The sequence below is a fragment of the Homo sapiens genome, chromosome X (genome assembly GCF_000001405.40).
Source record: "Homo sapiens chromosome X, GRCh38.p14 Primary Assembly".
NCBI classification, from domain to species: domain Eukaryota; kingdom Metazoa; phylum Chordata; class Mammalia; order Primates; family Hominidae; genus Homo; species Homo sapiens.
In genome coordinates, this window is record NC_000023.11 from 30,826,348 (window position 1) to 30,853,514 (window position 27,167).

General features: G+C 37.1%; 1 protein-coding gene and 1 long non-coding RNA gene across 13 annotated transcripts in view; one reads left to right on the forward strand and one right to left on the reverse strand.

The window, feature by feature from the left end:
* Nucleotides 1,095-27,167, reverse strand: part of TAB3 (TGF-beta activated kinase 1 (MAP3K7) binding protein 3) — a 61,813-nt gene continuing 35,740 nt past the window's right edge. For 3 of the 12 annotated variants that reach the window (NM_001399870.1, XM_017029400.2, XM_047441987.1), the window contains 4 exons: nt 26,431-26,591; nt 20,204-20,297; nt 16,619-16,702; nt 9,973-10,488 (listed from right to left, as the gene is read on the reverse strand). In NM_001399870.1, the coding sequence (NP_001386799.1) occupies nt 10,211-10,488; nt 16,619-16,702; nt 20,204-20,297; nt 26,431-26,591 (617 nt within the window). In that variant the 3' untranslated portion in view covers nt 9,973-10,210. Of the gene's footprint in view, nt 5,229-7,703; nt 7,806-9,972; nt 10,489-16,617; nt 20,298-26,430; nt 26,592-27,167 lie in introns of those variants that run through there. The other 9 variants (NM_152787.5, XM_047441986.1, NM_001399872.1 and 6 more) reach the window with 8 other exon arrangements.
* TAB3-AS1 (TAB3 antisense RNA 1) lies at nt 8,276-12,726 on the forward strand. The gene is made up of 3 exons (NR_145449.1): nt 8,276-8,416; nt 8,850-8,948; nt 12,673-12,726. It is a non-coding gene; the product is annotated as a TAB3 antisense RNA 1 (long non-coding RNA).

A 27,167-nucleotide genomic window follows, 5' to 3' on the forward strand; every position in this document is an offset into this window, starting at 1 on the left:
AGAGACATAATCAATTTCATGTACTCTATTTAGACCCTAATTTGGATAAGCTTGTTAAAAAATCCATGAAACTATTAGAGAAACTTGCCACTGGATATTCAATGTTTAAATTATTGATTTTGATAAGTGTACTTTGCTTATGTTGAAAGTTTATTTACCAGTGAATTGATATGTCTGGGATTTGTTTCAACATAATCTAGGGGGAGGTGGGATGAAAATACAGACGAAATAAGAATGCTTATACATAGATAATTTTGGAAGCTGGGTAATAAATGGGGGATCATTATATCTCTACTTGCGTATGCTTGCAATTTTTCATGTATTAAAACAATGTAGTGGAAACGACTTTTTTTTTTTTTTTTTTTTTGAGACAGTTTCGCTCTGTTGCCCAGGCTGAAGTGCAGTGGCACAACCATGGCTTACTGTGACCTTGACCTCCTGGGCTCAAGGAATCCTCCCACCTCAGCCTTCCGAGTAGCTGGGACTACAGGCCTACGCCACCATGACCAGCTAATTTGTGTATTTTTGAACAGACGAGAGTCTCACTATGTTGCCCAGACTGGTCTTGAACTCTGGGCTTAAGCCTTCCTCCCACCTCGACCTCCCAAAGTGTTGGGATTACAAGCATAAGCCACCGTGCCCAGCCTGGAAATGATTTTGAATTTAAATGTGCTTAATCACTGAAAATGTTACCTACTATAATTCATTTGTGGTAATTTCTGTGTAAAAGCTGTAAAGGTTTACTACAGACCCTAACAAAGTATCAGAACATTATTTGCCTCTGAAATGACAAAGATTTTTTAAAAAAGAAAACTATGTATTCTTTTGTAAATAACATTCTAAAGTGGGATGAAAAGAAGTTCCTAACATATTCCAACAACTTTTATGTAAAACCTGCTTATGTATAATTTTACTAAATTTTCCAATTGGAGTAATGTGCACTTAATACCCCAAATCTAACATTACGTGTTCTAATAAAGGAAGACAAATGTGATGATTACGTTTGAGACAGCATATTTCAGTCCAGAAATATGAGTGCTGACACTAGAACTAATTTGATACTGTAAATTTCTACGCAGAAAAGATGCAGAATGTAGTGTTTGCTTTTAGTTTATTTATTTTGCAGGAATCTTTGACTTTCCGAATATGTACTGTTTGGAGGTACGATGCATGCAGAGCCTTTTAAAATGCCTTTGTACAATTTCATCTCAAAATGATTTCATTCACAGCATACACAGAAATCTAAAAGAGACATGGTATTTACAAGATTTAATAAGTTTTTGCTGCTTTAATGAAGAAACTGATCAATTCTTTTACAGTAGGGAAAGAAACATGGACATTGGGTATCATAAATAATTCAGAATTGTTCAGTCTCAAAGTAACTTTTCATGGCTTTAGAATTAAAATTGAGTCATCATTCTATTAATCTCTGAATGCCCAAGCCATGCAGAATCTACTTGTATTAAATATTTGGGGATGCAAATAATACAGGAAAAAAAGTCTGGTGAATGTGAAAACGTCATCAGAATTAACCTTTACAATAGGCAAATACTGTTAATTCTTTCGAAAAGATACAGTAGTGGTGCAACACAGACAGTGCCCAATTTATTCTGATTTTTAAAAGTAACATTTCAGTTGTCATTTTTCTTTCTCTACAGATAGATATACAGACACACACGGTAACATGGACTCATTCAAGGTCTAACAATGGTACAATATTAAAATAATTCAATTTTTAACTATAAAGGGACATCTTCACATTCCAGGATACATCATTGATATTTTTAGAGGACAATTCTTCTATGCCTTATATTCTTTTTGTTTATACTGTCAGAAATACATTACAATTACCTCTTAAAAGACTATATAAAATTGAATTGCCACAGAAGGTTGGATATGAACCCTAGACAACTGTGACAAAGCAATGACAAAATTTAAGGAAACATTGATTTATTTGCATAATTAAAAAGTACTAAAATTGAGACCAGCTCCTTAAAAATTAAACTGCTTATCACACTTCCCATTTCTTCCAGGGAAATAAACAAATTAGCAACACTTTCCCCACCATCATTATTAATTTGCTCTAAAACTACATTTTTACAATGCATTTCTTTGTTTCTTTAAAGCCCCCTGCCTCTACTCTCTTCCAAACAAAGTCAATATCAATTCAAAACATTTTACAATGCTTAAAAAGTTTCTGGCTCCTCTATTACCATTTTAAACTTTTAAAAACTACTCCAAAATTTAAGGGGCAATGTACTTTAACAAAATGGCAAACGTGCTTTCTAAAATCCCAGTTTACAAAATAGCGAAATAATGTAAAATGTATAGTCAGGCCTATATGTTACCAGATACATCAAACTAGTCATTTTAAAGAAACCTCTTACAAGAAACAAGAAGTGCACCAGCTGATCCAGCTGGCACCTCAGCAGCCAGGCGTCATCCGATTTATATCCTACCACTTCCATGCCAATTGTCTGTACATACCAACTGACTACAAGATCCTTTTGAAAAGGCATCTTGAAAGTTGGGTGAATTCTTGTTCAAACTGGTCATAGGCAAAAAGCAGTCTACATATGGGACACAGTTAAACATACCAGATTTATCAGTGTCAAGTCATTTTGCCTATTTTAAAACTGAATACAGCCTATGTTGGCATATGAAACTTGTGCACAATTAAAAATTAACATGTACAAAACTTCCTTAAAATCAATCTGATACCGCATACCCCACCCTTTACACCTATCCAATAGACTGTTTTCTCTCTTTTCCTGGCAGGTGAAAACAATGATTGACTAGATAATATCACCAAAGGATTGAAACCATGCATCTACTGTATAACAGCTTATTAACCTTGATGTATTTTCATGCAATAGTTTTAAAGTCATCTACATGGTTTTATAAAGCATCAGACTGTTTTCAGACATGCTACTTTCATTCTCAACTGACAACTGCCAAGTTAATTGCCTCCACTTCAGCATATCACTATGAATACTGGTAAACCTTTTAGCTAGGACACCAAGCAGTATATATATATATATTTCCCCTAAATTGTAACTTAAAACCAAGTGGGGTTGACCATCACTAAAGAGATATGAAACCATACAAAGGCAAAGGCATATTACAGAACAGTAGGACGGCTAGACTGTTATTGGAGACAGAGACCAGTGTTACAAAAACCTTTGAAGAACGTTGTTTTGGGGACCATGCTTTTAAGCCCATCTGCTTTCTCACCGTTATTTTCACAGTTTTGCCACAGTTGTTGTGTGAGAGATGTTTTTATCAGTGTTAATTACCATGCTTCCTTTGGGAGACTAGTGGATATATTTTGGGGAGTTTTTCACATATGAAAAAATGTTTTCAAAGCTGTAGGCAGAGTGTGAAATGATTCTGATGGAAAACTATGATGAGTTATTACGCCTTTGGTTTCATTATGCTATTAAGAGCAGCTTGTTTTTCCAGGTCTGCCAGAGATTACTGCTAAATTAGAAGTGGGGGGGCGGTGTAGGGGGGTTGGGGGAGAAACCTGATGGGAGCGTCTATGGATATTCCTAAGACGATATCCTCAGGTAAAATCCTTTAGGATGGGAGAACCTACTAACTTTATTGCTGTTTATACTCACCAAAATGAGGGGAAGATTCCAAAACTCCAATTCTGAGCTAAGAAGGAACTCCAACAATGGCAGAGACCTTAATGAAATGTGCTATTAAGTTTCCAGCGATGCACCCTAGTGAGTCACATGACTTTATATCTCTTATCCGCACCCTGAAGTTCTATTTCATAAATAAGGAGTGCTTTAAAATGATCTGAACTGCCTGTAGAGACTCAATTGACCTCTAGATACAGTTATGTTAAATTTTAAAAGTTGTTTCAAAGTCCTCTATATTCACCTTTCTCTTAATAATTTTTGACAATCCCTCCTTTCCTAAATAATGCAGTGTGCAACTTTGTCGTTGGCCAACTGTAATTCCCCTCACACTGGTTTGTTAACATATGCAAGTAAGTTTTTATTGAACAGTTAATATTGATTTCAGCTAAATTAGGATTATGGCACAAAGTTTTATCTGTGCTGTAAACATCATGAATTTATCACAAAATTGGAAGGAAAAAAAAAAGGCCCTATGGACTGCAAAAGTTTAAGAACCACAGCTGAGCTCAAGATTTCCAAATGGATTTTGGAATGGACTTGCATTTGGCATACATTCACTGTGCTACTGGCAAAGCGCAGTTTTACGAGAATATCATTTATAAAATCATACTTTGTAAGGACTTGTTATTTTGAAAACCAATGGCCTTAATAAAAACATGCAGTAACTTAAAAAAATGCATCTCTTATGTGGCATAAGTAGGTCTTAGTTACCAGTGTTGATAGAGCTCGATGAATCACACTGTACAAGCCAAAGGCATCTTACCACCTCTGATTGTACTTTTAAACAAAGGCATGATATGCCTAGTTCCTGACTGCTACAAATCACATTTTAAAACATTTTGTTTGTGTGCATGTATGTGTGTTGGAAATTACCCCTGAAAAAAGCAGCAATTACAAATACCCTTAATTAATTTGCCCCCCCCCCCCAAATATTCTAGGTGCTTTTTCCTGTTGTCCTCTTTAGTAGGAAGCAATGGGAAGAAGCACGGGGAGCCTTGGTTTTCCAGAGAGCGGTGACCAGGTAAGTCTGCTCTGGGAATTCACAGTTTGCATAAACTGTAGCATTTCATACTATGATTCAAAGTACTACTTTAAAAAATAAGGGCCACTCAGCAGTAACTTTAACAATTGGGATTCCACCACAGAAGAGCTCTTGACTTCTGTGTGTACATTCTTTCACAGAGTGAATCCTTTCCCAGTTTCAAGTATCCCTTTCTATCTCTCACTCTGTAGTGAGTTAAGAAAGGAGAAAAAAAAGACCTCCCCATTTTTCCTTTCGTGAGCACAACGACGACCACAAAGCCATTCCTCCTCCCCGCTGTGCAATCGAAAATGAAAAGGCTGGGTGGATGAATAGAGTCCCGAGGTTTCCTTTTCTTCTGGTAGTGCTCAAAGTTTCACTTTCAACCTGGCGCAGACTTTTCTGAATTCAGGTGTACCGTGGCATCTCGCACTGCTCACAGCGATTTAGTGCTGGGTGGTTAAGAAAGGTGCAGCTATCACAATTCCATGGAGCCCCTTCGTAGTCTTCATCTCGAGGTTGTGTCCGAGGACTTTGTGTGGAGCCAGTTCGATGCTCTGAGGGAGGTTAGGATTAAGGGGGAGGGGGAAGGTAAATAGATTAACCTTTTTCCAAGTATAATCCAAACTGAAAAGAAAAATACCACAAAAATCAAGGGAGGTAATTGCCTACTTTAATATGTAAGCCAATTAGTAAATATATCTACTGGAAATGCATAGTTGAACAGAAAGTTGATCTTTTACTTTGTTCTAATTACTTTTTTTCTGCTATAAGAAGATGGATATATGTCCAGAATAGATTGCCTTCCTAGGTCATTACCTGTAAATAGCGGAGAGTTATGCTTTATTCCAGCCAAATGAAGAAAAAGAGAAATGTTTTATAGCATGTTAAATTCTGTCGCCTCTGTAAGTTTTCCCTGACTTCAGCCCACCTTGACTTTTCCTCTCTATAGTATAATACTATCCACACTATATTAAACATCTGACTAAATGTGTGCCTTCTTCCATGACAACTTAAGCTCTACAATATGCATATGTTTTATATTAATGGTTCATAAATAGCAGTGGCAGTTCATACCAAAGTTTTCCTCAGAATAGTGAAAAGAGGAAGATTCTACAGTTCATTTTTCATAAAGCTAAATTCATTCAGTATAAAAGACTTTTATTCTCATATTCTTTCCTACATTTTTGGCATTAAAAATCCTTCATATATCAGTTTTTAAAAATGCCCATACCTGGCAACCTTATGTTGGTCCCCAGGATTTGAAAAAGATATCCAAACTTACATTCCTCTTAGGTCCTCATTCCCTCTGGCTTTGTGCTCAAAAAAGCTCTTTGCATCTAGAGTTAACCTGTAATTTCTGTCTTTTAGGTCTCTATTGAGACTGAGGTCAATAAATAGGAGACTAAAGATCTCCAGATGGAATTCACCCTGGAATCTGGGGTAACTGGAAATGAGATTAAGATCTGAGGTAAGCAACACCTTTTTAAATAGGTAACAAAAGAAACAGATCTAGGGAAGCTTTGTCAGTTACTATTTTGGGCTAGGCATATCTTCCACTGGAAATTAACAAGCTGACTTCTAGTTTATCAATTTGCCTTATATGACAAATGTTATAACATTCCCCAAGAGATAAGGAGAACTGAATTTTAGACCCTGAACCTTACCCCAAGGTATGATAATGCTCAGCCTCAAACAGGAAGGTGATCTTAGCCTTAGGATATAACAGAAAATTACTGGGTTTTTCAGCTGCTTCCTATGACTATAAATAGGAGATGGGCTTGTTTCTCTTGCTTCAACTATTGCTTTTTAACTGCCATTATCACCCACCTTGTGTCTTTTGGCTCATGACTCCAAAACATGTAGATTTAATACAGTTTTCTTTTTTGTCTCATATGGAGGAATAAAGCCTTCGGTTGGAGGAAAAATGTTTACTATGCCATTTTCTTTCTTTCTTTTTTTTTTTTTTTGAGACGGAGTCTTGCTCTGTTGCCCAGGCTGGAGTGCAGTGGCGTGATCTCGGCTCACTGCAAGCTCCGCCTCCTGGGTTCACGCCATTCTCCTGCCTCAGCCTCCTGTGTAGCTGGGACTACAGGCGCCTGCCACCGCACCCGGCTAATTTTTTGTGTTTTTAGTAGAGACAGGGTTTCACCGTGTTAGCCAGGATGGTTCGATCTCCTGACCTCGTGATCCGCCTGCCTCGGCCTCCCAAAGTGCTGGGATTACAGGTGTGAGCCACCGCACCCGGCCTACTATGCCATTTTCAGAAAAGGACCTCTTTTGTCTTTACCTTTTAAAAGAACAATATGCCCAAAAACGTAACACTTAAAAAAAAATTCGTATCTTACTGTTGCTGGTTTTTAATAGACATGCTCTAAAAACTCAATGTTGCTATAAGTGTAAAATATACACCACATTTCAAAGACTTAGTATAAAAAGGATGTAAAACATCTCACTGATAATTTTATATTGATTTCATATTGAAATAATATTTTGTATATACTGAATTATATAAAAATATATTAAAATTTGGCCAGGCACGGTGGCTCACGCCTGTAATCCCAGCACTTTGGGAGGCTGAGGCGGGTGGATCACGAGGTCAGGAGATCGATACCATCCTGGCTAACACAGTGAAACCCCGTCTCTACTAAAAACACAAAAAATTAGCCGGGCGTGGTGGCAGGCACCTGTAGTCCCAGCTACACAGGAGGCTGAGGCAGGAGAATGGTGTGAACCCAGGAGGCGGAGCTTGCAGTGAGCCGGGATAGCGCCACTGCACTCCAGCCTGGCCTAAAGAGCGAGACTCCGTCTCAAAAAAAAAAAAAAAAAAAAAAATTAATTTCATCTTTGCTACTAGAAAATTTTAAATTGTATATGTGGCTTGCATTATATTTCTACTGGACAGCACAGCCTTAGAAACTCGGTAATGTTTTTAAAGCAAAAAATAAAGGTATGGTTTTACTTATAATTCTACATGGATTAACATGTGTCTTTGGACATTCTGCACAAACTCTGGACACACAAGTACAAACCATCTGCAGCTGCTGCCTGGGTGTCATGGATGTCTGCCTGTACTTTGGAGGTCACGCTAATTCTTCGGGCTTTTCTCTCAATTGTGCAGGGGTCTGAGGAGTCTGCATAAAAATAAACAACGCCAGAAAGAAGTGATCCAGTCTTTCAACTGCAAGAGTGAACAGGCTCACAAGATCTTTCAAGCAACCCACACAGCTGAGTGCATTTACCCTACCTATTACTTCATGTTACCTTTAGCAAGGGCAGGCACCATATTTAATACTGCTTTTACAACCTATACAGAGCAGTGGTTCTTACAACTTTTTTCCATCTTCTCCAGTTACATCTTCTCCCATTACTTAGAACAAATGCCCTATTTCACTGTTTTCTACTTTTTAATGGATTAGGGGTACAAACTCAGTGATAGCAAATAAATGTCGATGTGAAAGCAAAATTTGGGAAATTTTACTTTAGCAATTATCTGATTAAGCAATAATTATTTAAAAATTATTTTAAAATTATGGGCACTATCCATACAGTAAGGCTATTACAATGATGAAATGTGATGAAAATGACAGGATTTTTTTTGTTTTGTTTTTGTTTTTTTTGAGACAGGGTCTTGTTCTGCTGTCCAGGCTGGAGTACAGTGGCACAATAATGGCTCACTGCAGCCTTGATCTCCTGGGCTCAAGTGATCCTCCTGCCTCAGCCTCCCAAGTATCCAAGACTACAGGTGCATGCCACTACCACGCCCAGCTAATTTTTTAAATTTTATTTTTTGTAGAGACAGGGTCTCTCGCTATGTTGCCCAGGCTGGTCTCAAACTCCTGGCCTCAAGTGATCCTCCCACCTCAGCCTCCCAAAGTGTTGGTATTACAGGCAGGAGCCACTGTGTCTGGTGGATTTTTTAAAAATAGCAGTACTTGAAAAATCAGAACCAACTCGATATAATAGTATATACTGACAACCACGTGCTCCCAAATCATTTCCTGAATTCCAATTACCTATGTGTGCAGAAGCCCAGCAGACACTTTGCAACACAGACAAGAACTGTAGGCATCCTAATATCTTGCTAGAAAATTGTTTCTATAAATTTATAGTTTATTAGTAAGCAACCCTTTGGATTAAAAATGAAAAATGGCAGCCTTTATATTATTTGCCCTTAGGAACCAAAGAAAGATCTTGCATTTTCTAATGAATTCTGAGCCCACAGTACAACTCATCTTTGGAAATCACTGCTCCAGAATCCAAAGCATGGTGCTCAGGTACTTAAATACTCCATTGTCTGAGTAAACAAAAGCAGAGTGAATGTCTCCTTAAGGCTCCAAAGAATAAGGTAAAGTTCTGTTTCTTAGATTTGCAAAGTACTTCTGTCGAGTCACATACCTTATCTCACTAACTCTTACAACCTTTGGAGTATTTGGCTGGATTGTCCCTCTATGGTGCTCAGATTGAGTTTGAACAAGGTCAGGTGGCCAAGATGACCAGGACCAGTGCTCAGATCGTGGGACACCAAGGTCAGTGTGCTTGCTTGCTTACTGATGAAGGTTGGGGAAGCTGTCTAAGCCCACTGAAGAGCACACATACACACTGTATTGTTTAACTACAAAGTCCAATCTACCACTGTTATGAGTTACTAATAAGGGTTGGGAGACATTCTAAGCCCGCTGAAGAGCACGTACACACTGTATTGCTTAACTACAAAGTCCAATCCAAAAAAGGTTTGTTTCTCTGTCTCTTTCTCTCTCTTTCCTTCTGTCTCCCTCACATTCTTTAATTATCACACTTAGAATTCAGATAAACTATATTAATTACACTTGGATTTCTGGTATATATCTGTAATAACTCCAAGACATTTATTTATTCGAACCAATAAACCTATTCTACCAGTAATTTGTGTTTTACTGGTTTATCTTTTTTCTTTTTGTATTTGAGTGGCCTGCAATAGCAGGCCAATCTGTGCTAAACTATATGTACTTTTAGAAAACGCCGATTTAGTTTCAAATACAATATGAGAATCTGCAAGTGCTTAATGGAAAACAAACTTGATTTTATGGAGAAAACTGAATAGCTTTTATAAATTTGTGATGAAAGGCTTACCAAAAAATTATAGAATTTAATCAAGTTCTACTGTTTCTAAGTTTTAACAGAAGAAGATAAAAAACGGGTTAAAGACAATTTGGCATATAATAGAACCATTTATACTTTCACCAATAATATATATTATTATAGAATTACAACTACTAAATTTCTAAAATAGAAATTCATTTATAGTGAAGATGACTGAGATGGCTTCCTAGTCTCTTTTTTATTAGAAGTGTACATATGTAGAATATTAAACTGCTTGGGGTAGGAGTCATGTTTTCCCTGTGTAACAGCAAGCATCTATCTACATAATTGAGCTACGCATTGAGCATTCAATACATATTTAAGAAATTTTAACCGAAATCCCATTATAACTAACTCTAAGGGACTATCAGTTTTTGCAAATTGTGTTTGAGTTAAATGAGTCATAGAAAAGAGTCTTTCAGACCAGGAACAGTGACTTATGCCTGTAATCGCAGCACTTTGGGAGGCCAAGGCAGCAGGATCGCTTCAGCCCAGGAGTTTGAGACCAGCCCGGGCAACATGGCGAAACCCTGTCTCCACAAAAAATACACAAATTAGCCGGGCGTGGTGGTGTGCGTCTGTAGTCCCAGCTACTCAGGTGGCTGAGGCAGGAGGATGGCTTGAGCCTGGGAGGTCGAGGCTGCAATGAGCTATGATCATGCCACTGCACTCCAGCCTGGGCGACAGAGCGGGACCCTGTCTCAAAACAAAAACAAACAAACAAAGTCTTTTTAGTGTAAAGGTACTTGTAGAGCGCTAGATGAAGCTTGATATTAATGGGACCACATCATGGAATATTAATGCAAGCCTTATTCAATGCCCAGCCAAGGAGGATACCAAACAGGAACCTCCCACCTCGAATACATGGTGTTGGTCCCAAAGACAGAAGGCAAAATGACATCTTTTTTTTTTTTTTTTTTTTTTTTGGAGACAGCATCTTGCTCTGTCACCCACGTTGGAGTGCAGTGGTGCGATCTCGGCTCACTGCAACCTCCACCTCCCAGGTTCAAGTGATTCTTCTGCCGCAGCCTCCCAAGTAGCTAGGATTACAGGTCCACGCCACCATGCCCAGCTAATTTTGGTATCTTTAGTAGACACGGAGTTTCACCCTGTTGGACAGGCTGGTCTCAAACTCCAGACCTCAAGTGATCCTCCCTCCCTCCCAGGCCTCCCAAAGTGCTGAGATTATAAGCATGAGCCACAAGGCTGGCCTCAGAATGACATATTAACACGAACATCACCATTGCTAGAAAACCACAATCTGACTATACAGGATCCTGGCAGCAGATCCATCTGATTACCCCAGGAAAATTCCTTGATATTTCTTTTTTCATGGTCTTTCATATATATATTCCTTTGTCAAGTGTCTGTTCAAGTGTTTTACCCTTTTTTATTGAGTTGTCTTTTTATTACTGTGTTGTAGAAATTCTTTATATACTCTGGATACCATCCTTCATCAGATACATATTTTACAAATATTTTCTCCTGGTCTGTGGTTTGCCTTTTCATTTTCTTAATAGTGTCACTTGATGAGCAGAAGTGTAAAACTTTAATGAAGACTAATTTATCAATTGTTTTTCTTTTTATTGCTTCCTGTGACCTGTCCAAAAACTTTTATACCTAAATTGCAAAGATATTCTGTTCTGGAAGCTTTATAGTTTAACTTTTATACTTAGGTGTATGAGCTATCTCAAATTTTTGTGTATGATGTGAGGTAGGTAGAGATCAGACTGTGTGTTTCTTCCACATGGATATCCAGTTCTTCCAGCTCTGCCTGTTGAAAAAAATGTTCCTTTGTCTATTGGTTGCTTTGGTGCTTTTGTCAAATATCAAATGACAGTGTGACTGGGGGGTATAAACCTGGGCTCCCTATTCTGTTCCAGTGATCTATTTGTTTATTCCTATACCAATATCACACTGTGGTTATTGTAGCTTTATAGTAAGTCCTGAAGTTGGTTAGTCTAAGACTTTTTTTTCCTTTTTGGAGACAGCCTGTCACCCAGGCTGGAGTATAGTGCTGCAATCACGGCTCACTGCAGCCTCAACCTCCTGGGCTCCAGCAATCCTACCGCCTCAGCCACCAGAATAGCTGGGACTATAGGTGAGGCTGCAATGAGCTATTTTTAAATTAGCTCTACACTAACACACTTTTCATACACTTTTAATTACACCATGTCTGGCTAATTTTTAAATTTTTTTTTGTAGATGAGGTCTATGTTGCCCAGGCTAGTCTCGAACTCCTGAGCTCAAGTGATCCTCCTGCCTTGGTCTCCCAAAATGCTAGGTTTACAGGTGTGAGCCATTGCACTGAGCCAGTCTAAGACTTCTGGATGCTCTTTTTCAAGATTGTTTTGGATGTTCTAGGACTTTCTGTATTTCCATATGAATTTTATAATCAGTTTGTTAATTAAAAATGCACTACCACCTAATGGGGTTATAATTGGTATTACACTGTATCTATATATCAACCTTGTAAGAACAGGTATCTCAAAAATATTGATTCAGTCAGTTAATGAACATGGTATATCACTCCATTTACTTAGGTCTTCTTAAATATCTTTTGACAATGTTTTATAGTTTTCAATGTATACATCTCTGGATAAATTTATTCCTAAGTGTTACATGGTTTTTGATGGTATTGTAAATGAAATTCTCTTGAATTTTATTTTCCAAGTGTTTACTGATATTGTAAAAACATGTTTATATATTGACTTTGCATCCTGAGGCCTTGTTAAATTCACTTATTAGTTCTAATAGTTAGTTGTTTTCCAGTATCCTTAGGATTTTAAAAATAATTATGTCATCTGTAGTATATATAGTTTTATTTCTTCTTTTCCAATATTTATGCTTTTTTTTTTTCTCTCTTACTGCATGGGCTAGGAACTCCAGGTACAACGTTGAATAAAGGTGGTGAGAATAGACATCCTTGCCTTGTTCCCAATGTTGGTAAGTTCAGAATTGCATTATTCAGTAATAATGGCAGCTAAAGGTTTTTGAAAGATGCCCTTTATGAGACTGAAAGAGTTCTTTTCTATTCTTAATTTGTTTAAAGTTTTTGTCTGTCAGGAATGGCTGTTGAATTTTGTCAAATGTTTTTCCTGTATCTGGTGAAACGATCACATGCTTTTCCTCCCTTTGTTTAATATGGTAAATTACACTGGTTGGTTTTTTAATGCCTATACCAAGATTATATTCCTAAGCTAAACTCAACTTGGTCATAATGTATTATCTTTTTTTATATAGTGACTATAAGTCAATGAGATAGAAAACAGAATTATGGATTTTTTGTTTCTATGTTCATGAAGTTTATTGATCTGAAATTTTGTTTTCTTTTTGTGAGGGGCAGATACATAATGTCTTTACCAGGTTTTAGAATCAGAGTTCTGCTAGCGCCATAAAAAAAGATGGGGTACAACACCAACAGTGAACCCTAATGTAAACTATGGACTCTGAGTGATTATGAGGTCTCAATATAAGTTCATCAATTGTTACAAACGTACCACTCTGGTGTAGGATGCTGATAATGGGGCAGGAGGTATATGGAAAATCTCCGCAACTTCCTCTCAGTAACATGAAAAGGAAATGAAATGAAAAAACAAAAAAGAAATACGGGAAGCGTTCCCTCCTGTATTTTCTCAAAGAGTTTAAGATTGGTATTTTTACTTTCTTAAATATTTGGTGGAATTTACCCACCAGTGAATCTATCTGGATCTGGAGTTTTCTTTGTGGGGGAAAATTTTGATAGTGGATTCAGTTTCTTTATACATATATATATTATATATATATATATATATATATATATATAATATATATTAAAAAAACACACACTTACTAATATTTACTGTTTTGTCTTGTTTTCAGTTTGGGTAGATTATATTGTTCAGGAAATCTGTCCACTTTATCTAAGGTGTCAAGCTTACTGCATAAAGATGTCCATCACTTTCCCTTATTATCATTATCATTGTAATAGATAACCCATCTTTCACTTTTGATTGTGGTAATTTGTGTTCTCTTTTTTTACAGATCAGTCTACCTTGAAGTTTATTGATTTTGTTTATCTTTTCAAAGATCAAACTTGCTTTGTTAACTTTTTCTGTTTTCTATCTCATTGACTTTCCTTTCTTCTACTTTGTTTTTACTTTGTTCTTGTCTTGTTTCTTAAGGTAGAATTTTAGATATTCCTGTCTTACATGAGCATTTAAAGCTATAAATTTCCTTCTAAGCACTGCTTTAACTATCGCATGGGAAAGAATTTTGCCTTGCCCAAACAGAGGTCTGGCTTTGTCCCTGGCTCAAAACCTTGAAATTTCCTGAGTAACGGCAGTGTCTTTGTTATTTATGGTGGGTCCCTCAGACCGCATGATATGGTTTGTCTGTGTTCCCACCCAAATCTCATCTTGAATTCCCACATATTGTGGGAGGGGCCTGGTGGGAGGTAATTGAATCATGGGGGCAGGTCTTGTGATAGTAAGTCTCACGAGATCTGATGGTTATTATAAGGGAGAGTTTTCCTGCACAAGCTCTCTTTAAGATGTGACCTGCTCCTCCTTGCCTTCTGTGATGATTGTGAGGCCCGCCCAGTCTTGGGTATGTCTTTATCAGCAGCGTGAAAACAGACTAATACACCACACCTATAGGGAGTTTATGCTGAGGGATGGCTCATGATGCACGTGTTTTCCACCATTTCTAATCAACTTGGTCCTGTTTCCAGGGTAAAAACTTTCCAATGCACTCCCTTAGACAGGGCAATTGCTCTAAGACAGCTCTTTGAATCAATGAACTAAAGTTTGTCTGGCGATACTTCTTTAGTAGACATTCAGGCAAAATCGAGTTTAAAGACTGATTTTATGAACCCAAAAGACTAAATTGATCAATGCTAACTATACACCTCAGTGACTTTCGGCAAGAAACTGCATATGATGCTGCCAAAGTGCCAAATCTGGCACTCGGCAGTCATCCACTAAGATGATTCTTTGTGCCATTTTTAGAAATCAATAGACTATTTTTTGGCCAGGTGCGGTAGCTCATGCCTGTAATCCCAGCACTTTGGGAGGCTGAGTCACTTGAGGTCAAGAGTTCAAGACCAGCCTCGCCACCATGGTGAAACGCCGTCTCTACTAAAAATACAAAAATTAGCCGGGCATGGTGGTGGGTAATCCCAGCTACTTGGGAGGCTGAGACAGGAGAATCACTTGAACCTGGGAGGTGGAGGTTGCAGTGAGCTGAGATAGTGCCACTGCATTCCAGCCTGGGTGACAGAGAGAGTCTCCATCTCAAAAAAAAAAAAGAAATCAATAGGCTGTTTTTAAATGTAGATCAGATGAAACATCGATGGTAATATTAAACAATAAAAAGAAGAACAGATACTATGTTGCAACTTATAAATAAAAAAAAAAACACTCTGTAATGAGCTTAATATACGTAGAAAACTATTCAACCAAAATTTAAGTAATTAGGTCAGGTAGTATTATTTAGATAGAATTTATACATTCTTTTAATTAAGTCTGATGAGATGTTAAATGTTATACTCTCTGGTAATTTTTTTCAAAAATAAGGCATTCTCCACTGTTCTATGTGTCTTCATGATCAATCTACCTTGAGTTGCTTAAGGCAAAAAGGATTAAAATATTAAGAATGAGGCAGAAAGTTAATCTACATTCAATGACTACTTATTTATGAATGAATGAATAAATGACAGGGTCTCTGTCGCCTAGGCTGGAGTACAGTGGCGCGATCTCGGCTCACTGCAACCTCCACCTCCTGGGTTCAAGTGATTCTCATGCCTTAGCCACCTGAGTAGCTGGGATTACAGGCGCGCGCCATCAGGCCTGGCTAATTTTTGTATTTTTAGTAGAGACGGGGTTTTGCCATGTTGGCCAGGCTAGTCTCGAACTCCTGGCCTCATGTGATCCATCCGTCTGGCTTAAATGACTGCACGTGTAAATTCAATTAAAATTAATTTTTTAAGATACAGAAATGCCAATTAAACATTTGCTACATAAAAATAAGAACATGTTTGATATCTTTAATTTTAAATCATTTTTATGTAACAACTATCCAAAAATGATTCCTTCAAACCTTGGTTATATAGGATTTCTTTTGTTCTTGATGGGAAAATACCTAGTCGCTACCAATTGCTATGCTCCCCTTTTGAGTACACAAGTATTCTTTTGTTGTCTGAAAAATAATCTTAAGTCTATTGCAAATCTAACTTTCTATTCTCACATTAGACCTTTAAAATCCTCATTATTTTATGAGAATTATCTTTTAGGGTTATAGTTTTTACAATGCTAAGTAAATTTATAATGTTAACTATGTAATATAGTGTTTCAGCTTCTGTTTGTAAAAAATTATATAGTCCATCAAATTACCTCTGACAGTAATTCTAAGAGTTACTAATTTCAGTACTTTTTAAAAACTAAAGTTTGGGGACATTTCATTATTGCCACATTATAACACCAATATGGTAAATTTGTTGAGACCAGTGAGCAACATGGTGAGATCCCATCTCTACAAAAAATAAAAAAAAATTAGCTGGGCATGGTGGTGTGTGCCTACCATGCCACACACCAGCTACTTGGGAGGCTGAGGCAGAAAGATCGCTGGAGCCCAGAAGGTCGAGGCTGCAATGAGCCATGATCACACCACTGCACTCTAGCTGGGGCAGCAGAATGAGACCCTGTCTCAAAAAAATAAAAATAATAAAAATATGGTAACTTTATGCTGAACAACTTAACCTCTAGTGGAAATTTCTTCAGATAAATGTGAAATCCCAAATTATTTTGACATTTATTTCTATCGTATTTGTGACATTTTTCATACTCACCTTTTTTAGATGGCTTGGGTGGTACAACTGGGCCAGGTTCTATGTTGTCATAAAAATTATTCATGGCTTTTGGATCAAAGTTTCCTATAAAGAAAGTAAATTCATCAGGCATTTAAGAACTCTTTTTTCCTGTTATTTGATTTTTTTTTAAAGAAAATATGTAAATAAAACACATAAGAAGGGAAAAATGTTTTCCAGGATTTCAAAATTCATTACATAATTCTGTCCTCCCAATGAAATTGTGTTTTCATCGCTGTGAGAAAAGACCCAAGAAAACCACTACACAGATGTATGTCTACAATGTATTACACTTAAAGGAATATTTTTCTAATTGTAAGGCTAGTCTCCTTAGGCAGGATTAGGCATGTGGGGCATTTGGGGAGATAAATGAAGAAGAGAAATGAAAGGATGGTTGAACTGTTTTCTCTTTCTGCTTGTTTTGATTTTTAATGAACAAACTGTGAGAAAGAACACTTAAATAATGAAAGCTTACTTTCATATTTATCATAATTTACCTTAAAAATTCATTATAAATTGAACTACAGAAAAAGCCAAATATAAACATTTACAAGGATTAATCAAGTTATATTTTGAGACTACTAAGCAACCTCAATAAATGTGAAATAACATCAGCAGTTTATGTATTCTTATTTTCAAGAAAAGGAGAATCTTACACTAAGTGTTAAATGTTTCCTACAGATTTATCAATGATAAAAGGTGCCAATTTCAGAATAGATAGAACAATACCTGAGAATTTTGTCTTGCCACAAAATTTTCACCTGTCTGTCTTCAAATGTTCATTCCCTGGTCTAGTGTCTGTATTTCAGCCACATCTCCTGCTGTGTCTCCTCCAAGGTTGGTTTTGGGTCCTGCCTTCACTTCTGTGAACCTATCACTGTGCTCTGCTTGTTCTAAACGATTACAGTTAACTGTAGCCATACTTATTTATAGAAGATGCTGTATGGTACTAATACTGATAGTTTAAATATATTAAATCTCTTCATTTCCAGATCTACTTTTTTTTTTCCCAACAAGTTTTCCTTACCAAAAATCACAAAAAAGCTGGTTTTCATCAAGTCATGCACTGATTTGCATCTATTCTAAATGCTTATTCCCCTGCCTCCCCCCGTCACCACCGAAAAAGGTTTAGATTCCTTCCCTAGCTTAAAAGTTTAGATTGGAAACTCAGTATAAAAAGTTTTCTGCAGTGTGGAAGAGTAGAATTTAGTATAAAATGGATACATTTAGATTCGTTATGAAAAGAGATTTAGAAATGCCTAAGTATCCCAAAGAGCTCATTGTCCAATGCAGACAAAAAACACAGCTCTTTGCTTATAAAACCTTAATAGTGGTTTCCCTTGCAGGCCCTTTCACAAATGTTTTATCCACTTGAATATGCTGTTTTAAGATAATTTTCTGAAAATAATTGCTGTGATAGCTCATAAAAGCCACAGTGCTATTTGATGTATTAATTGAATCTTTTTATGCTTTAAGAAGCTGCATATGTATTTCTTCAATTACTTGTTACAGCTCATGTTCTAATTTCTAGATCACAAAAGGCTTACTATAAGTATCCTAACCAAATGTTTTACTGTTTGTTTTGCTCCAAAGACCACACAAGTAAAAGAAATTGATGCAATCTTCTAAAATATAGTAGCAATAGTTTATGTAACCCCTACATCATGCATAGTAATTCTTTGATTGCTTCAAGTTAGTGGGCTATAGAGTGACTAGGCTTCTGAAAATGACTTTAAGGGTACCTGACTAGATTGCTCAATTCTCACATTCAAATTTGCTTCTGTCTGTTGTTCAGATAATGCCGTGTCTTTTGGGTTCACCTGCCACTAATCTTTAATCTCTCGCTCTTTGTTTTTTAGACCGAGTCTCCTTCTGTTGCCTAGGCTAGAGTGCAGCGGTGTGATCACGGCTCACTGCAGCCTTGACCTCCTGGGCTCAGGTGATCCTCCTGCCTTAGCCTCCCACGTAGCTGGGATCACAGGCACACACCACCACACCTAGCTAATTTTTAAAAAATTATTTGTAGGGATGGGGTCTCCCTATGTTGCCCAGGCTGGTCTCTAACTCTTAGGCTCAAGTGATCCTCTCACCTTGGCCTCCCAAACTGCTGGGAATACAGGCATGAGCCATTGTGCCCAGCCTACTGTTTGTTTAATCTTGCCTAAAAATGGCAGTGAGATATTTTATTATATACTCTTAAAACACTGTAGAAAGTCTTAGCTGCCATAATCAAGAAAAGTTAAGTGTGGGGGATGGGGGGCAGGAAAGCTGATTAATACACAGAATTAAGAAAAATTACACGTCAACTTTAACGTAACAAAACACTTGTATATAGCTATATTTTAAAGTTAGTTAGATAAAGACCTAATTTTTACGTGTCTGTTGGCTGGGGTTCCATATTGTATTTCTTACATAAACCACACCCATGATGACCTACAGCAGAGGTTGGCAAACCTTTTCTGTCAAGGGCCAGATAATATTTTAGACTTTGTGGACCTGTGATAGAGTCTCTGTTGCAAGTAGTCAACTGTGCTGTTGAAGCACAAAGGCAACCATAGGCAATATGTAAACAAATGGGCATGGCTATCGCTCCACTAAAACTTTTATTCACAGAAACAGGCAACAGGCCCTAGTTTGCTGAACCCTCATCTATAATTTTGATTGCTTTAGAATGGAGCAAGAAAGATATTAAGAACACTTATAATGCAATTTGAGTACAGAATCCTTTTAGACTTTTTTCAGTTGTTTTCACCCATATCTAATTCACAATCCCTATTTTTTGAGTGATTTGCCTTTGGCTTTCATAGAAAGAGCGGCTTTCTCCTTCATGTCAGTTTATGAAACATTAAATTGCAGAAATACAATAACTGGCATAAACAGGTTTGGGGACAGAATCAACTCTTGGTAAGCAGACAATTCAACCGATGGGAGCAATATTCATGGGCCTACCAGAATGCAGCCTACTAGTCAAAAGTATGCAGCAGCTGTGGACATCAGTCAGTATATTTTCCACAGAAAATGAAGACCATCTCTAATCTGGTGAGTTGGGTAAATGAAAGTTTAAGAGAGCTTCTGCTGTAGTATACTTCTGTAAAAAAATCCAAAAAACTAAAACTATGATTATAGTTGAATGTTTTCACATAACATAACATGAAAAATAACATATATAGAGTTTATTTTAAAACTGAGAAATCTGATACTCTGATTTGGGATCCCTTTTTACAGATATTTTAGATGTCTATCACATAATATGAACTCTACTAAGTTTTAGAATTAAAACCCATCAATTTATAAAATATTCACAGTAAATGACAAAAAGAGGATAAATGCAAAGTAACAACATAGAACAGTCTAAATGATAAGAACTTGATGAAACTGCCGAAGTAAAACTATTTTTTCATCCCCAAATCTGATCCATGACCATGGGACAGGGGGATCTCTTTCCCAGGATTGTAATCTTACGGATAAAAACTGTCTCTTAAATCTACAAAACCAAAGTTATTGCTATTTAAGCAGCTTAAAATACCACACTATTACTTATGGTTTACCAAATAATCAAGTCTATACCTCTAGATTGAAGGAGGTCAACTTCTTTCAGTGTACAGTCAACATTTATCTGGAGTTGTCTGTTCATGCTTCTCAATCTTGTCATTTCCTCAGGCTAGTAAGAAAGGACCCAAAATAGCAATTGTGGGAAAGTCATTATCAAGCCCAACATTTAAGAACTGCGTTTCATGTTAATTGTAATGATTGGGTATTACCAAGAATACGGCCTTAGTCCATAAGAGGGCATGTTTAAGAAGTCCTATGTATATGTTTTTAAAGGAATAGTCGGGTAAAATGGGGACATCAAAATGGCCACATATAAACAAAATCTGCATATAAAGTGGCGAGCTGCAGTAGTGGACTGTGTTCTACCATACAAGATACTACCGTTTTAATCATAGAGCACTGAGAATATTTTGTGTCTATGTTTTCATGGTAAGGGAAACTGTAAGAATCAACCTGTTAAACGAGTCATGTCCATGATCTTAGTCTTGTCCAGCCTGGTAAAAATTACAACAGTACGGTGTTTACCAGAATTCTCTCATTCCTTCTTCTTAACAATCCTTTAAGGTAGGTACTAATATTGTGCCCAGTTTATAGATGAGGAAACTGAGGCACAGAGAGGTTATATAATTTTCTTAAAGTTATAAAGCTAGTAATTGGTAGAGCCAGGATTTATATAAAAGACTCCTATATAAATTCATATATAAATATTTTTGTCATATTTTTTCTAGATTGAAGGAGGCAGTTACTCTAGCACATGAAAACTTCAGAAACAAATGAATTCCATTTGTTCCCCAACTTTGTTTTCTTCTGCCTCTACCTCTTCAGGCCAGCCCACTCCTTAGGCCTTTCAGGGGCACATATGAGGCACTGAAATGTGAAGAGAGTCCTAATCTTCTATTCAGTAAAGCTTTTTGGAAGCCTTTACTTCCCATGTCATCCTTAATTTCTTTATTTTTATATATATGTATATATATAAATATACATATATATGTATAGTAAAAAAGTCAAAGTTTAGAATCTAGAGGCTGAAATACTGAAGCTTTCAGCACGGCCCAGGTATTAAATACTAGGGTGATTTTAACTATAACATATAAAGTGAAAAATTAAATATCTGCTACTATAGGAAGACAGAACAAAATCCTATTCTGTTAAAAACATGTACTTTGCTAAACGCTAAATATGTTAATATGCCAGTGAAAGAAAAATGAGCAGAAAGGATATCTTAATTCATATGGTGTTAGGAGCTATTATCAGAGTAACTGAGAATGCCCATTAAATAAGCAGGTATCAAAGTTTAAAATAAGTGATAAAAGGCAGAATAGCTACAATTCCACAGAATGCTAGAGGAACAAAAAAAGTCGTTTAGAAATATTTATTATGGACTGCCTTTTCTAATTCCTATGGGCTAAAACTATGTGACATTAATGTGTAAAATGCTTTGCGCCTTGCCTATCAAGCAATATTCAAATAGTTTAAAATATATACTTGAACATTTAAATTAAAGATAATGTAAGGGCTCCAAACAGTGATGCTATCTTCCTAGGAACACATGGAAGAACCTGTCGGGAAAGTCAAGCACCTGAAAAGGATTATCTATTCCATAGGTTTTAGGGAGTTGGGGGCAAGAGAGATGTTTCAGCCACAGTGGCCCAAAACAGTGAAGCAGCCACCACACAGTTGCTCGTAACGAAAACATACTTTCATCAGGCCGGGTGCAGTGGCTCACTCCTGTAATCCCGGCACTTTGGGGGGCCAAGGCAGGTGGATCACTTGAGGTCAGGAGTTTGAGATCAGCCTGGCCAACATGGCAAAACCGTCTCTATTTAAAATACAAAAATTAGCTGGGCGTGGTGGTGCGTGCCTGTAGTCCCAGCTACTCGAGAGGCTGAGGCACGAGAATTGCTTGAACTGGGGAGGTGGAGGTTGCAGTGAGCCCAGATTGCACCACTGCACTCCAGCCTGAGCAACAGAGTGAGACTCTGTCTCAGAAACAACAAACATACTCTCATCAACAGGCTCATTTCCAAAGATAGTAGAACCACTCGATCTTACTAAGGGTTTATCAGTAAGATTCCTATGTCCTTTTTCATATGGCTTCTGATTAAACTGAGGGGGGAAAAAAAGCAGTTTCTGAGAAATTACTGCCATTTGTCAAAAGTAGTTTTCGTGCAGGAGGAATTTCAAAATTGGGTATGTATAATTCAAAGTTGTCTGTAAGAAAACAGGATGTTTGTAGCCAACATTTCAAAATAAAAAATGGTAAGCTTTTTTTCCAAAGCTGGCATAGACCAGCGTCAAAGACCACTGATGTTCTTTGGTGGCTGGGACTCAGTTATGCCTCTGGGACTCAAAGCTGTGGGATAGTCCAAAAATGTAATTAGAACAGGAAGAATGGGGGGGAATAACTTGAGGGAGGGGGTAATTGGCAGCTTTCTGCATATTAAAATCTTATCCTTCAAGGTAAAACTTAAATTTCCCCCTCCTCCTTGAAACTGTTCCATCTATAAACTCTATAGGTAAAAAGCTAACATTTCTATCTCAAAACTCTGAAAGTACTTATATTGTTACCATTTAGCTGGTCAACACTTCTGATTTACTGCCTTATATTTTCTCTCTCACACAAATACATATAGACTCACAGATATACCTATCTCATTTCACATACAGATCTAAGAGATGACATCTTTGTCAGCATTTAATATAATGCTTTGCAAATAACAGATTAAGGGAAATGACACCATCATGCATCTTATATCTTGCACTTCTGCTCTCCTTAGAAAAAGATTATTTCACTGTTATTCTAAGTTTCTACAACCTCCCTCCCCCACATAGCTGGTCACAAATGTGCACTGCAGTATCATTAGGCAAGCAACTTTCTAATCAATTTTGTATATACTGCCTGATAAGCAGTTTGTTTGAAAACTTGAAGGTAGCAATGTGTGCTTTAGTAGCAAAAATGTCAATTCTCCACTGGGTATTCCTATACACAAGTGGGACAATGATAAGGCTAGCCATCTACTGTTCACATACTTCATGCCAGGCTTATTACATACACTGTCTCTTTATCTTGACAATTATTATAATGTACTTGCTATAATTCTCTTTTACAGCTAGGGAAAATCAGATGCAGAGAAATCAGATATAGCCAGTGAGCGCCTGAGCAATTCTGACTCCCAAGCCTATGTGGGCTCTCTTTCCACTATATCATGGTTCCTCAAATGAGCCTTGATGAGCAAAATGGGAAATCTGACTAAATGATTTATTTCTTGATTAATTTCCTACATAAGTATAATCTTATATATGTTCAAGTTCAAAGGAAGTCAAAGTATAAAATGCTTCAGATTTATGTGTCTAAACCTCAAGCAAAGTTGTCTAGTATTTTGCAACCAACACATATTTTATAAGAACACTTACTATTTGTTGGGCATTGTGTAAACTGCTTCACATATATTACCTCATATAATCCTAAGAAAAATCCCGTAAGATGAGTACTATACCACACATTTTATAGATAAGAAAACAAGCATAGAGAAAGTTACTTATCCAAGGATACATGAGTGACAAATAGAAGTAGGATTCAAACTGGCACCTGACTTGAGAGCCTACTCACGGTCTCAACCACCACGTACTGTCCCTCTGCTGTGTACTACAATTGTCCTCCATTTTACACTAGGCTTGGCAATGGAAACACATGGGAAACACTTAAATGTCTTATCTCTCAGATGTTAGCACCCACATGAACTACCAATTTCTCAATCTGGGGGATGGCTACATGGGGGTTCATTATACTATTTTATGTATCTTTGAAATTATAATAAAAGTTAAAACTAAATTACAGCCCAGGGCAGCAGTTTCACCAACTTCTCTTTTTCCTTTCTCAAGAAGATAGATCGGGGGCCAGGTGCGGTGGCTCATGCCTGGAATCCCAGCACTTTGGGAGGCCGAGGCGGGCAGATCACAAGGTCAGGAGTTCGAGACTAGCCTGGCCAACATGGTGAAACCCCGTCTCTACTAAAGATACAAAAAATTAGCCAGGCGTGGTGGCACACTCCTGTAATCGCAGCTACTCGGGAGGCTGAGGCAGGAGACTCGCTTGAACCTGGGAGGCGGAGGTTGCCGTGAGCCGAGATCACGCCATTGCACTCCAGCCTGGGTGACAGGGTGAGACTCTCCATCTCAAAAAAAAAAAAAGAAAGAAAGAAAAAAGATACATCAATAAGAGCTCTGATATAAAATCTGGGGCTTTTTTCTTTTTTTTTTTTTTAGTACTAACCTATGCTACATTAGACAGTTCTCCACTTCCAATGAAAAACAAAAAAAAACCAATATTTTATTTAGCAGGGATTATCACACAGCAAGTAGTTGCTAAATAAAATGTATATGATTAAAGAAAATTACTATGCTAAGAAAATTTGTTTATGCTCTACAGGTACCTAAAGGTTTCCAAAGTACCCAACTACTACGGGTGGATTCCCATATGGGTTATGTCCTTCAATATCTTCCGCAATCAGAGGATTCAATTAAGATTTCAAATGGAGAAAATGAGGCAGAAATTTGATTTATATTAACATCACCTTTCCATTAAAGATAACTTTGTTATTTTCCAGTGCTTTAAGTAGTTAAAATCTTCCTCCTCACTTCTAATATTGACTATACACGATATTACAAAAAAGTCACTAAATTAGTGAATATGCCAATTTCTCAAGACTCTCTCTCTCAAAAACTCCCACTTGTTCCCTGTTACCAGGAGAATAAAGTTCAAGCACCTTGACCTAGCATTCAAGGTCAAAGCCCCAGTTAACCTCTGTTAACTCTTCAGAAATCTCATGCTTATGCCAGGGAACTGTAGTTACTGTCTCCTAAAAGTCACTCTCCATCTTGACTTCAAGCCTTCATTACCTTATTGTTCTTTTCTCTTCTAAAATGCCTTCCCCTTTTCTCTCTGCCTATTGTTTAAGGCAATGGTTCCTCACTCCTTTTTTCCTCCAATGTAATAATCTTATGAAAATCTGATGAAAGCTATAGACCCACTTCCCATATTAAACACACTTATGAAACTCTGCATATAATTTCAGAGAATTCACAGATCCCCTTTGAAGCCAAGAACCTCAAGTAGAAACTTCTCTATGAGGGAGTGGCTGCAGACATGCTGACTGCAAGAGGCCTGACATATGCCCACTTCTCTAAACCTGTAAACTCAGAGATTGCCCTTAGCTTAGAGAGGGTAGGAAAATGAGGAAAGGCTTCATGGAAAAAGTAGAGGTTAAGTTGAGCCTTGAAGAACAGAACAGACAAGATTTACACGTGCAGAGCTTTTTAGAAGGGCATTCCAGCAGGAGGATTAATGTAAGAGCAGAGAAGTGCAATGAATCTGCACAGAAACGAGTTGATGTATAAATTCTCTCATTACCCGTGAACATATACAGCACTTACCACACTGTATTATAATTATCTGTTGATGTATCTATTTTTCCCACTGGTAGGTATGTACTAAGCATCTAGCATAGTACCACATTGCATAAACTATACGCACAAAACTGCTAAATGTTGAAAGGTGAAATGATAGGTTGGATCATCGCTTGTGAAGTCACAAGATTTTAAACATGCTTCAAAATTCTCAGTTGTTTGGGATCGTTAGAACTCATATATATTAACCAACATGTTAAAACTATATTATCTGAATCTTTTCATTAGAGCAGTTCCCTTTAAGACTGCTATCAATCAATACTGTTATCTCAGTTTCTACAATTATTTATACTTAACAAAACTGCTCTGCCTTAAAATATTCTACAGTTAACACTTCTCCAAAATTCATATTGATCTAACTCATCTGAATTAATGTACTTACAAAAATAATTAATTTTAAATGTTTAAAAAATATATATATCATATGCTTAGAAGAATAAATGAATACACAAAGAATAAATTCATCAAATTTTTGGTCAGGGTGCACTTTTCATTTCTATTTTGACAGCAATTTACAAATAAATGAGATGCTATACCTTGATTATAATCGTCAGTGTTTGAAAATACTGATGAGCCTATGGAATCTGCATACATGAATTATTTTGATGAGAACTACTAAAGGCAAAAGTCCTTCATCTGTTGTTTTTAAAAAAAGCAACAATAACAACAACAACAAAAAACCGGAACTCTGCCAGGAATAAAGCCTAAAGAAAAATAAATGACCTGACAGCCAATATCCCGACCCTCCTATTAACACATCCTAACAGATCACTTACCGTAGGGATCGCAGTGGTGCAGCTGACTCTTCTGAGCCGTCTCTGCATCAGGTCATGCTCCATACCATTAACTTCAGACTTCAACCGCTCTAGCTCCTCTTTCTCAAGTTTCAGTTGCTTTGCTAACCTCTCCATCCTTGCTCGTTGATGTAACAGCAAGGCTACAGCATTATAGATAATGTCATTGCAGAGAACAACATTGAACAAGCGACTGGAAAATTTCGATATGCACTGCTAATGTATAAAAGACTCATTCAACTTGGGGGTTGGCATTTACTCTCATGTCTTTCTAATGCTATGCTGCCTCCACATCTGCTTCAATTTAGCCCTCTGAATGCAACCAAAGTGACATCACCTGAACATCCCTCTTGTTCTATTGTCCTAAGATTCTCTTTATACTTATGTGTGTTTTGAACAGGCTGACTACCAGGCATACTGAATAATTACTTCCCTTCTTATATACTGAAAGAAAACTAAATTCTCCGGTTATCTTGAAACAATCTGAATAGACTTTTTAAAAACTCTGTATCTAATTTAGGTCTACTATTAGCTAATCCAATAATCTACTATTAGCTAATCCAGTAATTCCACTTTTATATATTATTACTTTTTAGCTAATCCAATAATTCCACTTCTTATATATTATTTATATGTAAATATCATTATGCCCTCTGGGCCATCCTCTTTAGAAAAGATTCAAATTCTTTCGTTTGATGAACTTTAGTCCATTCTCCATG